Genomic DNA, 13,800 nt, shown 5'->3' with positions numbered 1-13,800 from the left:
CAGTATTTACAATTACATGCTATTATTATTTTGTCTTTTCTATATTATTTTATATTCTTCTTGCAAGTAATGCAAAATTATATGGATCCAAGAATATTTATCTATATTCAACTAATATTTTGAAAACCAACATCAAGTAGTTAAATATGGTATTTAAATGTAGATGTTCTATTGAGAATGTAAACATCATCAGTGACTCTAACATTTTCCCATAGATGCGGACTAAATTATCCCTCAGCTAAGTAAGAACTCCAAATATACGAAATAAGAATTCTTAGTGTTTGGGATGGAGGGAAGGAGAGGAAGAGAGACACCCTTAAAAAAAAACTTGACTGTATTTGATAGTATAGATACTGAGAATACTGATCACTTAACGGCTATTTTGTGTTTTCTACACATGATGCTGGATCACTGGGAGTTAAGACCCACAGGCTGAGAAGTGAACAGGTTTAGTAAGGGGATCTATGGCCATTGGCAGCTTTGCTAGGGTAACTGTATAGGCATCCCCCAGCTGGGTCAGCACTCCCCGCCCCACCCTTAGCTGGCACCCCAGAATCAACTGGGTCGGAAAACTTTTCTAAGCTCCTCACATAGCCTCATCCCCAAAAGGCAAGCCTTCTACTTACTGATGGCAAATGATATATCCCTTGTGTATCCTGGGCTGAGAATTCTGCTTACTGGGGACTCATATGAAGTTTTCAGTGAGTTTCAGGGTGCACCAAGATGTTAATCTCCTCACATGAGCTCCAGGCCCCACCACCCACTATCTCAAAGGCCATCCAAAGGCTGCTTACAACGAAGCATACCAGTCAGTTGGAATCACTCTGCTCTCCTCCAAGGCAGCAGGCTACCTTTGTGCCTGCAACAATCTCCACAGGGCCCATTCTGCACAAATGTGGCAGAGGTAGAAGGGTCATCCAGACTCTGAGGGAGCACTTCTGCCCCAGTAAGAGTTTCTGGGGGCCTCAGAAGGTAGAAGTTTGGCTTAACAAAATGTTTTATAATGTACCTGCATCAGATCTTGTTTTTCTTTTTCTCCTGAGCTAATTGCCTTTCTGATAGATTTTAGTTCTGTTAGAATGGCTTTGGCTTCACTGAGTTCATACCCGCTCTGGCCTCCAGACATTTTTTTATCAATTCTGTGAAAAGAGAAAAAGAAAGAAAAAATATCAAAGAATGATAGCATATAAGTTAAACAGAGAGTAGGAAGTGGTTTGGAATTGTCTCAGTTGGATGATTATTTCACTGCTGACTGTCATATACCAGCAATCATCTTTTCAGGCAGTTTCTCCTCCTTTCTCTCTCTTTTTTTTTTTTTTTTTTTTTTTTAGATGGAGTCTTGTTCTGTCGCCCAGGCTGGAGTGCAGTGGCGTGATCTCAGCTCACTGCAAACTACGCCTCCTGGGTTCAAGTAATTCTCCTGCCTCAGCCTCCCAAGTAGCTGGGATTACAGGCACCCGCCACGATGCCCGGCTAATTTTTGTATTTTTGGTAAAGACGGGGTTTCACCATGTTGGCCAGGCTTGAACTCCTGACCTCGTGATCCGCACGTCTCAGCCCCTCCTTTCTCTTTTAATCACAGGCGGCTAAGATTTCTCCCATCCCTCACTTCAAACCCAGTCCATTTCTAATCACTTTTGGGCTCAAACAAACGCATGTCTTTTTGCCTTCAATCTGTTTGAATGATCCCACTGCTGGCTGAACCCAAACCTTATCAAGTGCTGATCCTGATCTTCACCCAAGAAAGGTAAAAGACGTGGGCAAATGCTTTAGCTGAAGAACACAGAGGCAAGTAAACTGCCACCTGATTTACATAATGTTTTGCTGTAATGTCTGTGCAAAACCTGGCACAGGGCCTGCAGCTTGGGAGGCCTTTAATAAATGGTTAATAAGTAAATTATTATTTATACTAGTGAGTATCCTACAATGTTTGGATTGTGTGGTTAGTTTTTATTTCTCTCTCTCTCTCTATATATATATATATAATATTTATTCTGCTTTTATGAAAGTTATGAGTCAAGATAAAATTGCTTGACTTGCTGGATGAGTTCAAACTTAGGAAAACGGCAGAAGGGCAGTAGTCATTTCTCAACTCATATTGAATAAACAGCTCTTCAATGAGCTAATTTATTATCCCTGCAGAGCTGCTTACCAAGTGTCCTTGCAGTTTACATCGTCACCTTAGGCTAGAGGATTTCACGTAACCTAATTCTTTGTGTTCGAAGGGCCTAATCGAATTACCTAATTCTTTTAAAAAAATAGTTTCATGTACTCTTCATGATCACTCTCCTGGTCCTCCCCAGCTGCCTGTGCTATCTGGGATTCATTATGAATACTGCACGAGTTCTCCTTGTGGGACATATGGCTATGCCTCTGCCCCACCCAACAACTCTATACACGTTCTTAGACATATTTTTGGTTTTATCCAGAGTCTCCAGAGAAATAGTACCTACTGAATCGGGGAAAACAGGCTCTGAGCTCGTTTGGTTTAAAACATTTAATAATTAATACTTATTTTCAATGTGAAAGGTATAATCTGAAAAAAAATAAAGCAATGCCATCTTAATCACTCTTCCAAACAAAGTCCACTCAAACAAGAGCGGTTTATAGATAATGTATTTCCCCAAGCACTGTTTTAGTAACTATCTTATGCTGCTGAACAAGCAATTAAAGACTTCAAGAACCTAAGAAAATAAAATAAACTTGATCATAAGATCATCTGATAATAAAGTACAACCAATCAAGTCACAGATTAAACACATGCACACACACACACACACACACACACACACACACACACACACACACACACACACAGTGTTTAGAATGGGGAGGGCCCCTAAAGATCCCCTAGTCACATTTCTTCCAAATGAAGAAGGCAAGGGAGAAACTTAATGCAAATTTATACCCCAAATTGCACAGACACTTAGCTAGTAGGGGAACTATCCTAAAATGACAGATTCAGAACTGGGGCTCTTATGACTACCACATTTAGAATATCTGATGGGACTAGTGAAGTACTTTGAATATCAGCTAATTCTACTTATTTGGGAAGAGATTTATCAATGGAATTTCTGACTCCCTGAAGTATTATATCCACCAACTTGGCTGAGGAAATGGCTTACTAAATAAAACAAATGATATTTCCAAATATAGCATTTTGGCATTTTCAAATGTAGCACTTTTTAACTAAAAATAAAAACTAAAATGTGGGGTTTCATAAAATAGGTAGTAATAGGGATATCTGAAATTGTGTCAAAGTGAATTTCTAAAACTCAAGTAATTTCTTCCTGTTTGTGTAAAGTCTTCAGAATTTAATGATAAAACAAATCTTTGATTCAGAAATGAACATAAACTTTATCATTTGAAAATAAAAGCAGGTAAGCTGTTTTCAGAAAAAAACCTTAACGTTTAAAAAATAAAAGCAGGACTGGTTCAAGACTGCTAATTTAAATTTCAGAGAGCTTTGAATACATGAAAATTTCTTGGCTATCCACTGCTCAACAGAATGCTAAATGTGAAGAACACAGCTCAGCTTTCACCATGGAACGTTTCTGCTCTTTTTCTTTTGCCTCCTTTGAACTTCTCTACTTTAAGTGCTGCCTTTTTCCTTTATTTCACTGTTTCTTGTTTTTCTCCTCCACTTTTCATTTCCCACCTTTTCTCTTTTGACCCTAACTTGTCATAAAATAAACCGAAGTATGAGCATCATTTGCTGACTTAAAGTATCATGCTTTTTGTTCTTAATATGAGAAAAGCTGTTTTTTTTCTTAAAATTTCTTTTGGAAGTTCTTGACTTGAGTGTGCCCTATAACTAATTTTCACTCAATATATTAGTCTCTTTTGAAAGATAAAATATGTTCACTTGCATTCCTTCTCTGGAAAGTGTATACCTTGAGAACCAAATTTTCACAGAATCTGTATATGCCTGTGACTTGCTGTTTCATCACTAGCCTGTTTTCCAATTCTGAATGCACACTGGAGGCAGCAAATGGAAACAGGCATCTTCCTGGTATCCATTTACACATATACTACACTGCTGCTTAGGCCGAAGTCAAATTTGGGACCACAAACTGAAATGAATAACGTAGAGAACAATGCCACATTTGTCTACCCAGTATAAAACTATTGTACCAAGTAAAATGAAAGCTCAAGTTTAAATTACATTATAATTCCAGATTCAACAAATATATTCCATTCTATTGTAAATAAAAGTTACAAAGCCTACAATCAGATTCTATTTAAATCTTTTCCTGAAATATATTTTCTGTCATGCCACAAATATAAGTCCCTTTATAGTATCAAGAATGTGGTTTCTTAAAAAGTCTGGCTGCTGGGTTTGATTGTTGATCATTCAGTGTTTTAGTAGTATGGTGGTTAACATTTGAATAAGAACAGCTTTATTTTGTCTATAGTTAAGATAAACAGGAGAGGTCTCTGATGTTAGATATCATATCTTTCTGCTCTCGGTTCAAGGGATTAGAATCATTCCAAGAGAATGCCTGAATTTCTACAACAAATGTCTATTGTTTTCTTGTGGAATGTTATTGACAGATTCTTAAACATGCCTTAGATTCCTATAAAAATTGCTTGCAAGCAAACTGCTTTGAAACAATACAGCATTGTTACATCAATATAACAAAGACAGCAAGTTTGGCTAACCTTTAATCCCAAATGGTGACGCGAGTTATAATTTCATGTGCCTTAAAAATGTGGAACATATGGCTAAACACGTTACGGCACTCTTCAAACTCTGTTTTCTCTCCCCACCCCCACCACGAAGCCCTGCTTTATGCTGATAAACAATTACTAAATAATGCATTTATGTCATTCTAGTTCTGCCTGGTTTATCGGGGAGCTCTGCAACCAGCTGAGGTTCTTACAACAGGGCTGGACTTGAGAAGCACTTGGGATCTCATAAAATATACCTGGCATAGAGACTAGAAACATTATTTTTCTAAGCACTCTCCAGATTATTCTAATATGCAGTCAGGTTTGAGAACCACTAGGATGGGAGCATCTGAAGGAGTATCAGGGTCATGATTCTATGCGGTAAGCAGGAAAAAAGGAGTCTGGATGATAACAGCACGTGTGAAATTAAAGTCATGCGTCTGACTGGTGGTCAAGAGCAGTGCCTGCGTATCCCAAGATATGACTAATCACCCAAACAAGAACAACCAGTTTGTTTATCTGGCCAGTGACACACAGGATCTTTAAAGGGGCTTGCTGCTTGGAGCATCCCAAATAAGAGCAGAAGGTAAAGTAAGATTCCACAGGGAAAAGGAACACAGCTGGGTACTTTCCACAGAGGTGGCGCCTGAGACCAGCTTGGCATTCCTGAGGTGCTACCACGGGAGATGCCGGGAAGAACACGAAACCTGCCTGAACACAAAACTGACCAGGGACATCCCTAAAAATACTGCACCGCACTTGGAGGCACCAAGCAGGAGGGAAGTTTTAACTCCTCTCCGTGGTCATGTGGCTGTGAAAACCATGGACTGCTTCTCTCCCATGAGAGGCCCTGTGGAGTGGAGACTGCAGGATTAGAAAGTCTCAGGTGTGCCTGTCACGGTTTGGATAGGCTGGGCCTCAGCAGCAGGGAGAACAGTGGCTTTCAGGGGCCGGGAATGCGGAAGGGATATCCTCATCCTGTGACCCTCTGTCACCTCCATTTCCACTTTACCTGGCCCAGCTTAGGGCTCTGCTAACGGCCCAGCCAACTTCAGTAGCAAACGGGAAAGGTAGAGGAACCAGGAAGTGAGGAGCGCACTCCCGCTCCTTTGCTAATAATCCTAACTTGCTCTTGCTCCCCTGCCATCTGTCAGGGTTAGACTCTAGGTCATCCCTGGGGCTGGCAGAGAGAGAGAGAGAGACAGACACGCCTCCACCCAAGGGCCCAGGGCAGCTGCAGGCTCACACAGGGGTCAAGTACAGCCAGCCCAGCCGAATGTGGAGAGGAATTTCTTGTGCCTAGTCTCTTAGCTCTGTACCACAATCTCAGAGGAGGCCAGCAAGGGTCCAGGAGATAAAGGTAAGACAAAGGCTTTTCACTTTGGTTTCTTTGGATCTCCAATGATTAATAAAAACTTTGGATCTTTTCAAGTGCATAGATCTTTCCCAAGTTTTTTTATCTGTTGGTTGATTGCTTTATTTTCTTTTGGTGTAGAGCTCTGAACTTTTTTACTTTACGTTTCTTTAAGAAATCGCTTATGTAATCTGTACTTCTATTTTCTTTGTATTCATACTAGTTAGGGAGCTTATTCTAAAGTTGATTCAGTCTTTTCATACTCACTGCTGCAATGTTTCAAAGCCTTGTTCTTTATAGAGCAGTTCCTGCTTCATCTGTGAGAGCTCTCTCTTTAGCTTTTTAACCTTTAAAGAGAAATCAACATAAACATTAATGTTTGCAGATAATTAGCAACACAGTCTACAGTTTTAAAAGATAATAAATTAGTAAACAAACACATAAACAAAGCCATGAGTTAAAGTAACATTTACTTTATCAGTTTCTCCTTCACATAAATTCTGTGGAAGGCATATTAATGATGTTTAAAACTATCAGTGATGTGTATTATTACTACTATTTACCTTCATTACCTTACTTAGCAACATTCTTATGAGCTGGACATCATCATTGTCTCCAACCAAAATGGGCAGAATAAGAACTCCAAGTCATGGCATCTCTATAAAAGTGTGTGTTTTTCCTTCATTCACTGTGCCAAGGGCCACTGCCCACCCCTCCGTTCCTCAGATGTCCTGGCAGTTCCTTCTGCCTGGAAAGCTCTCCCCAGATCTCCCGCAGTTGACTCCCTGTCCCTCCAATGCTAGCTGAAATGTTATCTTTTCAAATAGGACTTCTCTAGCCCCCCTGCCCCTGCCACGGCTCTGTTTTATTTAGACCAGAGTATTTTTCAGGAGCTGAAATTCTCCGTGTACACTGTCTGTCCTCCGTGGGAAAGTAAGCTGCAACCCACCAGCTGTATCCCAAGCATCTACAACCATGCCAAGCAAACAGCAGATGATCAATAAATATTTGTTGTCAAACTGATAAAATATATTTTTCCTGTTGTCAAATATATACTTTGGTAATAACAATTCTAAAATTGGACAGATCAGAAAAGCAGCACACGCCTGGTTTAGTCACAAACTAATAAAGGTCTTCTCACAAGGGTTAGAAACTTACTTCCATATATTAAGTTAGAGCCTTAAGTTTTTTTCTGTTGTTTGTTTGTTTTTTTTTTGAGACAGAGTCTTGCTCTGTCGACCAGGCTGGAGTGCGGTGGTGCAATCTCGGCTCACTGCAACTCCGCCTCCCGGGTTCAAGCGATTCTCATGCCTCAGCATCCAGAGTAGCTGGGATTACAGGCGCCCGCCACCACGCCTGGCTAGTTTTTGTGTTTTTAGTAGAGATGGGGTTTGACCATGTTGCCCAGGCTGGTCTCGAACTCCAGGGCTCAAGCGATCCACCCGCTTCGGCCTCCCAAAGTGCTGGGATTACAGGCGTGAGCCACCATGCCCAGCCAGAGCCTTAAGTTTTAAACACATTCTGTTGCGCAATATTTTAGAGTGCTTTTGAACTTTTATGTTGATTTATTTTACTCATTCCACAAATAGGTATTGACTCTCTACTATGTGTCTGGTGCTAGGCCTGAGTGTGAACAAAACAGACATGATCCCTGCCCTCAGGGATCTTACAGACCATGGAGCAGCCAGATATTGAGCAAATAATCAGCCAACAAAAGAAATCTTAGTAATTACCAAAGGTGCTCTAAGTTCAGGATACCTAGATATGCCAAGAGAACAGATCCTAATTTAGTCTGAGGGCTTGGGTGGAGCCTGTCTGAGGAAACAGTGTTTCAATTGAGAGGGTTAGTGGGGCTCACTTGGTAGAAGGGGTCCTCAACAGGAAGAGCTTGTGCAAAACCCTAAAGGGACAGCGGGGTGAGGGGGTATTCAGCAAACCTCTGGAATTTAAAGAATGCCACTGTGGCTGGATTACAGAGGGTGGGGGTGTCAAAAGATGGAACTGGAAAAGGACTGATACACAGATGCCACGTTGAGAATTTCTAAATCTTACTCTAAGAACAACGAGAATCAAGGAGATTAAAGCAAGACCTGCTTTATGATTTTAAATAGTCACTGTGACAACGCTGTGGGGACTGAGCAGAAGTGCCACGAGGGTCCATTATGCCAGCACTGTGGGCTGGCATGTGGGCAAGAGCCAGAGGAGGAAGATACTTCAGAGGCAGAATCAACAGGACTTGGTGATGGACTCAACGTGGAGGGTGTGGGAAAGCATGTGACCAAGATCACATCAGGATTTTGGCTTGCCAGCAGGGTGGACGAAGGTGCTTTCCTGGAGAACAGGACCAAATGTGGAAGAAAAGAGGAAGAGTTTTCTTTAAGACATTCATTTCCGTGATGCCCAGGAGACTTCAATGGCAACTAGAATATGTGGACTTGATGTTCAGAAGTGTCTGGACTAGAGATAGATAATTGAGAGTCACTGGCATAAAGATATTATTTTAGGTGCACGAGAATAAACAAGATTACCTAAAGTGGGTGTGTATTGAAAAGAGAAGAGTGTTCGAGAGCAAGCGTTGGGCATATTCATTATTCACATGTCTACTAGAGACAGAGACAAAATACACTGTGAAGTAGTGGCAAGAGATGTAAGAGGAAAAAAAAAGGGCATCCTCGAATACAAGAGAAAAATGTCAAGAGGGAGACCAGGCACTATGAGGAACAACGTGACAAAGACAAGAGCGGTGTAATACTCATGTTTGCATAGCTTTAGGCACAGTGCTTTGGACAAAGCAGATATTCAATAACATATCCGTTGAGTTTAACCTGAATGTTTATCAGTTTGTGCTTAGGTACTCGTATTTTATTAGGGAAAAGAAATACAAATAATTATGTTTCAAGGCCCAGTTTATAAATACAAAGAGAGGTATAAAGAGTGCTACTGGAACTCAAAGGAGGAAAGGATTACTTATGGCTTGGGGATGAGGGTGGAACTCCTGGAGAAGGCTACCTGAACAGGATTTTAAAGGTGGTGTAATATGAATTAAGAGCAATGAGCTCATTCGCAGTATATCACAAAAACATTTCAGTTTTAATATTAAACTATTATCATATCAAAAGAGCCACAGCAATCAGTAGCTCATTCTACATGTATTTCTATTTAGAACAGCATTTTCAAGTGCTTTTTGCCAAAAAGACAGCAACACTTTTATCTTTTGAAAAAAAAAAAAAATCAGTCCTAAAATTGATAGCACTCAAATATCTGAGCTGAAACCTGTCTTTACCATTGAAAATAGTTTGTTACAACAGCTACAAATAAAATAAAATACCTAGGAATTAACTTAACTAAAGAAGTGAAAGATTTCTACAATGAAAACTATAAAACAAGCTTGCCCAACTCACGATGGCTTTGAATGCAGCCCAACACAAATTCGTAAACTTTCTTAAAACATTATGAGGATTTTTGCTTTTTTTCTTTTTTTTAGCTTACCAGCTGTTGTTAGTACTAGTGTATTTTATGTGTGGTCCAAGACAATTCTTCTTTAAATGTGGCCCAGGGAAGCCAAAAGATTGAACAACCCTGCTATAAAACATTGATTAAAGAAGTTGAAGAGGACACACAAAAAAAGGTAAGATAGACCATGTTCATGGATTGGAAGAATCAATATTATTAAAATGTCCATACTACCCCAAGTAATCTACAGATTCAATGCAATCCCTATCAAAATCCTTTCACAGATACAGAAAAAACAATCCTAAGATTTATACAGAACCAAAAAAGACCCAGAATATCCTGAGCAAAAATAGCAAAACTGAATCACATTACCTGACTTCAAATTGTTAAAGCAAACTAAATATGGCCTAAGAAGGACTTCATACTTCTATAATTGAGACCTTGTGGATGAACTGTAACCTAGCTTAATAGTCAGACAAAACTGAAAACCTAACTTAATAGTATACACCTGTAACAATAACTGAGTGTTGGCCAATCCCAGTGGCCATACTTCAACCACTCATAGACCGCTGAATGTTCCAACTGTGTTCAAATAAGGCAAACACCAAGCTGTAACCAATCTCGCTGTTTCTGTACCTCACTTCCAATTCCTGTATATCACTGTACGTTTTCTGTCTATAAATTTGTTCTGACCACAAGGCACCCCTGGAGTCTCTGTGAGTCTGCCGTGATTCTGGGGGCCGCCCGATTCACGAATCTTTCATTGCTCAATTAAACTCCTTTAAATTTAATTCGTCTGAAGTTTTTCCTTTTTCAAAATTATACAACAGAGGTATAGTAACCAAAACAGCACACAACTGGCATAAAGACAGACACATTGACATAGAAAACCAGCAAACAAATCCATAAATATACAGTGAACTCATTTTTGACAATGGTGCCAAGAACATATACTGGGGAAAGGACAGTCCCTTCAATAAATGGTGCTGGGAAAACTAAATATCCATATGCAGAAGAATGAATCTAGACCCCTATCTCTCTCATATACAAAAATCAAGTGAAAACAGTTGATTAAAACAAGGATGATATTGAACCCATTTAGAAATAATGAATTAAAACAATACTATATCTTACTGACATAAAATAGAAGTCTTAAAATCACTTGGATTACATGAGATAAATATTACACAAAAAATCATTTGGATTATGATGATAGGTCAATTTAAATTTTTTTAAAAATTGTTTAAGACATTCTTTATCTTGAAGAGATATTAGTGCTCCCATGTTCACTGTAGCATGATTCACAATAGCCAAGATATAGAAATACTCTAAATGTCCATTGACAGATGCATGGATTAAAACAACATAGTGTGTATATACAATGGAATATTATGCAGCCTTTAAAAGAAGGAAAGGCTGCAATATGTGACAATATGAATGAACCTTGAGGACATTGTGCCAAGTGAAACAAGATGGTCACAGAGGGACAAATACTGTATGATTCCACTTATATAAAGTATCTAAAATAGGCTCATAGAAGCAAAATGGTGGTTGCCAGGTGCTGAGGTGTACAGAAGGAGAGTTGCTACAGGAAATAAAGTTTCAGTTATGCAACATGAAAATTAGTCTAGAACTCTGCTGTGCAACATTGTTTTTATAGTTGAATATATTATACACTTAAAAATTCTGTTAAGAGGGCAGATCTCATGTTAAGTGTTATTACAAAAGAAATGGAAATTCAAAAAAAATCTAAAATTGACTTGACAAAGTTGGACTCTCCTCTGTTTAGGTGATATGAGTGAAATTTTATTCTATGTTGGGTGACAATCACATAGGAAGCTAACCTGTGCTTTCTTTGTCCCCCACATTATTTAGTTTACCTAAAGTTGGCTATACGCTACTGGTTTTATACTGGGGAGTCTTCTTAATGGACAACCTGAATGATTCTTAGCTCCCAAATACCAAGATGGCATTTTATGAACTATCAAAAAGTTTGCTCCCATAAGTGAAATGAATATTTCCAAGCAGACATTATTTCTAGTTGTTTTGGTTTTATCGGTATGGTGTTAATTAGTAGTTCAACAACCTTTCTTCTTTGGAACCACTTGGCATCATTCTAGCTACTGGAGGATCACTGTTTTCACTCTTCTGTTCTCTAACCCAGCCTCAAATGTAGGACACAGAATGTAAAAACTAATGTCCTTAGATCCCAACTAGAAGATTAAGCTAATGCTGACCTAGAAGCTTAGCACAATGTAGACTCTACTAGGAAGCAATAATGAGAGCTAAGTTCATAAGTGCTTTTAACGTATTCCAGGCACTGTGCTAAATACAAATACCCATTTTCAATCCTCAAACTACACTACTAGATACAGTTTTCATTCTCATTTTATTGGTAAAGAACCCGGGACCTAAAGAGGAAAGGTAAGTAACCTGCTAAAGGTTACCCTGCTATCACAGTCTATCTAGAACCCAGGAGAACTTCTAAAAATACAATTTAAAAAGTTTTGTTATTAATGGCATGATAATACATGTAAAAAGAAAGACAAATTAGAATTGTAGCAAAATGACCTAAATAAAATCTGTGACCCTTATTCTGCCTTAGAAACTTCATTATTCCTGTATCCCACTGGAAATGAAGACATGAAAGGCCCACAATCCCCAGTGTGTGTGTTTTCTCTCACATCACTGAACTTAACTACAGCTGTAGCTAACCACCTAATTTTATTTCTGTGGAGCCAAATCTCACAACCCAGAGTGCTAAATTGGAAGCAAGAGCCCACAATTTCTGCACATTTCCCACTGTCTACACTAACTACGCTAAAGCAACTGATATTTTACATTGATTTCAGTTATTTCAGAAAACCAGGAAGATACTGTGATTAAACGTGGTAAGTAGGACTGAAAATCCAGAGCTTCTTACCACTTCTTATAATCCTAGTGTCATAGGTTTTATTTTAAAAGAAGGGGAAAGAAGATGACAATGAAGGAAAAGTAAACTCTGGAAACCTGTAGACCTTAGAAAGATCACAAGACAGACAGGTTTCAAAAGTTTGCCCTAAAAGTGAATCTTGCAACATTAAAGTTCTAACGAGCAAAATGGTATTTTACTAATGACTGCCTTCCCTTTTCACCATTTTCTCCACTGTCTTGCAGGGAGCTCCTTAAGCAAGCCAATAAAGGGCAACTGTCAACTTGCTCCTTCTGGAAATCCCTCTCCTGACTACCACTTCCACCTTACTGAAAATCCTCAACACCTACTTCATCTCTGAAGCCACCTTTAAAGAAAACAAGAAGTCAACTCCAGATAGATAGTCAAAGAATTCAGAATAAAACATTGTTTAACTTTCATAAAGCACAGAGGAAAGCAGAATCCCAGATGCTGCTAGAACCGTGTATGATGGCTAATAAATGGAATTGGCCATCAGAAACGAGATGGCTAAACACAATTATTTTTTTTAAATCTTTTGTTTAACAATAATAAAAAGGAAATAAAACAAAAGCCAATGAGAAAAATTACATAAAACATTTATGAAAATACTATCTCAAGATACAAATAACAGATAAATATTAATATATGGAAGGTCAATGCTAGATCTCCACAAATAATTAAACCAGTAAGGCTGGGCGAGTGGCTCACACCTATAATCCCAGCACTTTGGGAGGCGGAGGTGGGTGGATCACCTGAGTTCAGGAGTTCGAGACCAGCCTGGCCAACATGGTGAAACCCTGTCTCTACTAAAAAATACAAAAATTAGCCGGGTGTGGTGGCAGGTGCCTTAATCCCAGCTATTTGGGAGGCAGAGGCAGGACAATCGTTTGAACCCAGGAGGCAGAGTTTGCAGTGAGCCGAGATCAAGCCATTGCACTCAAACCTAGGGGACAAGAGCAAGACTTCTCTCAAAAAAAAAAAAAAAAAAAAAAAAAAGGTTTAAAAAGAAAAAAAAAATACACAGTAAATTACCACATGAGCCAACAATTCTACTTCAAGGCATATACCCAAGAGAAATAGAAACCTATGTCCACACAAACACTTGTACATGTAAGTTCACAGCAGCATTATCCATAATAGCCAAAAAGTGGCAAAAAAACAATTATCTGCCAACTGATGACTGGATAAATAAAATACGGCTGGACGCAATGGATCACGCCTACAATCCCAGCACTTTGAGAGGCCAAGGTGGATGGATTGCTTGAGGTCAGGAGTTCGAGACCAGCCTGACCAACATAGCAAAACCCTGTCTTTACTAAAAATACAAAAATTAGCTGGGTGTGGTGGCATGCGCCTGTAATCCCAGCTACTCGGGAGGCTGAGACAGGAG

At 39.2% G+C, this 13,800-nt stretch overlaps 1 protein-coding gene and 1 long non-coding RNA gene across 6 annotated transcripts in view; one reads left to right on the top strand and one right to left on the bottom strand.

The window, feature by feature from the left end:
• The window catches only part of WWC2 (WW and C2 domain containing 2), a 221,521-nt gene that overhangs the window by 74,223 nt on the left and 133,498 nt on the right, over positions 1-13,800 (bottom strand). For all 5 annotated transcript variants that reach the window (NM_001410864.1, NM_024949.6, XM_024454225.2 and 2 more), the window contains 2 exons: positions 6,293-6,372; positions 1,010-1,139 (listed from right to left, as the gene is read on the bottom strand). In NM_001410864.1, coding sequence (NP_001397793.1) covers positions 1,010-1,139; positions 6,293-6,372 — 210 coding nt within the window. The remainder of the gene's footprint in view (positions 1-1,009; positions 1,140-6,292; positions 6,373-13,800) is intronic.
• Positions 5,921-12,927, top strand: WWC2-AS1 (WWC2 antisense RNA 1). The gene is made up of 2 exons (NR_126473.1): positions 5,921-6,031; positions 12,635-12,927. It is a non-coding gene; the product is annotated as a WWC2 antisense RNA 1 (long non-coding RNA).

The sequence above is a fragment of the Homo sapiens genome, chromosome 4 (genome assembly GCF_000001405.40).
Source record: "Homo sapiens chromosome 4, GRCh38.p14 Primary Assembly".
Classification (NCBI taxonomy): domain Eukaryota; kingdom Metazoa; phylum Chordata; class Mammalia; order Primates; family Hominidae; genus Homo; species Homo sapiens.
Note: the sequence above shows the minus strand (reverse complement) of the source record. Positions and strands in the feature narration are given on the sequence as shown.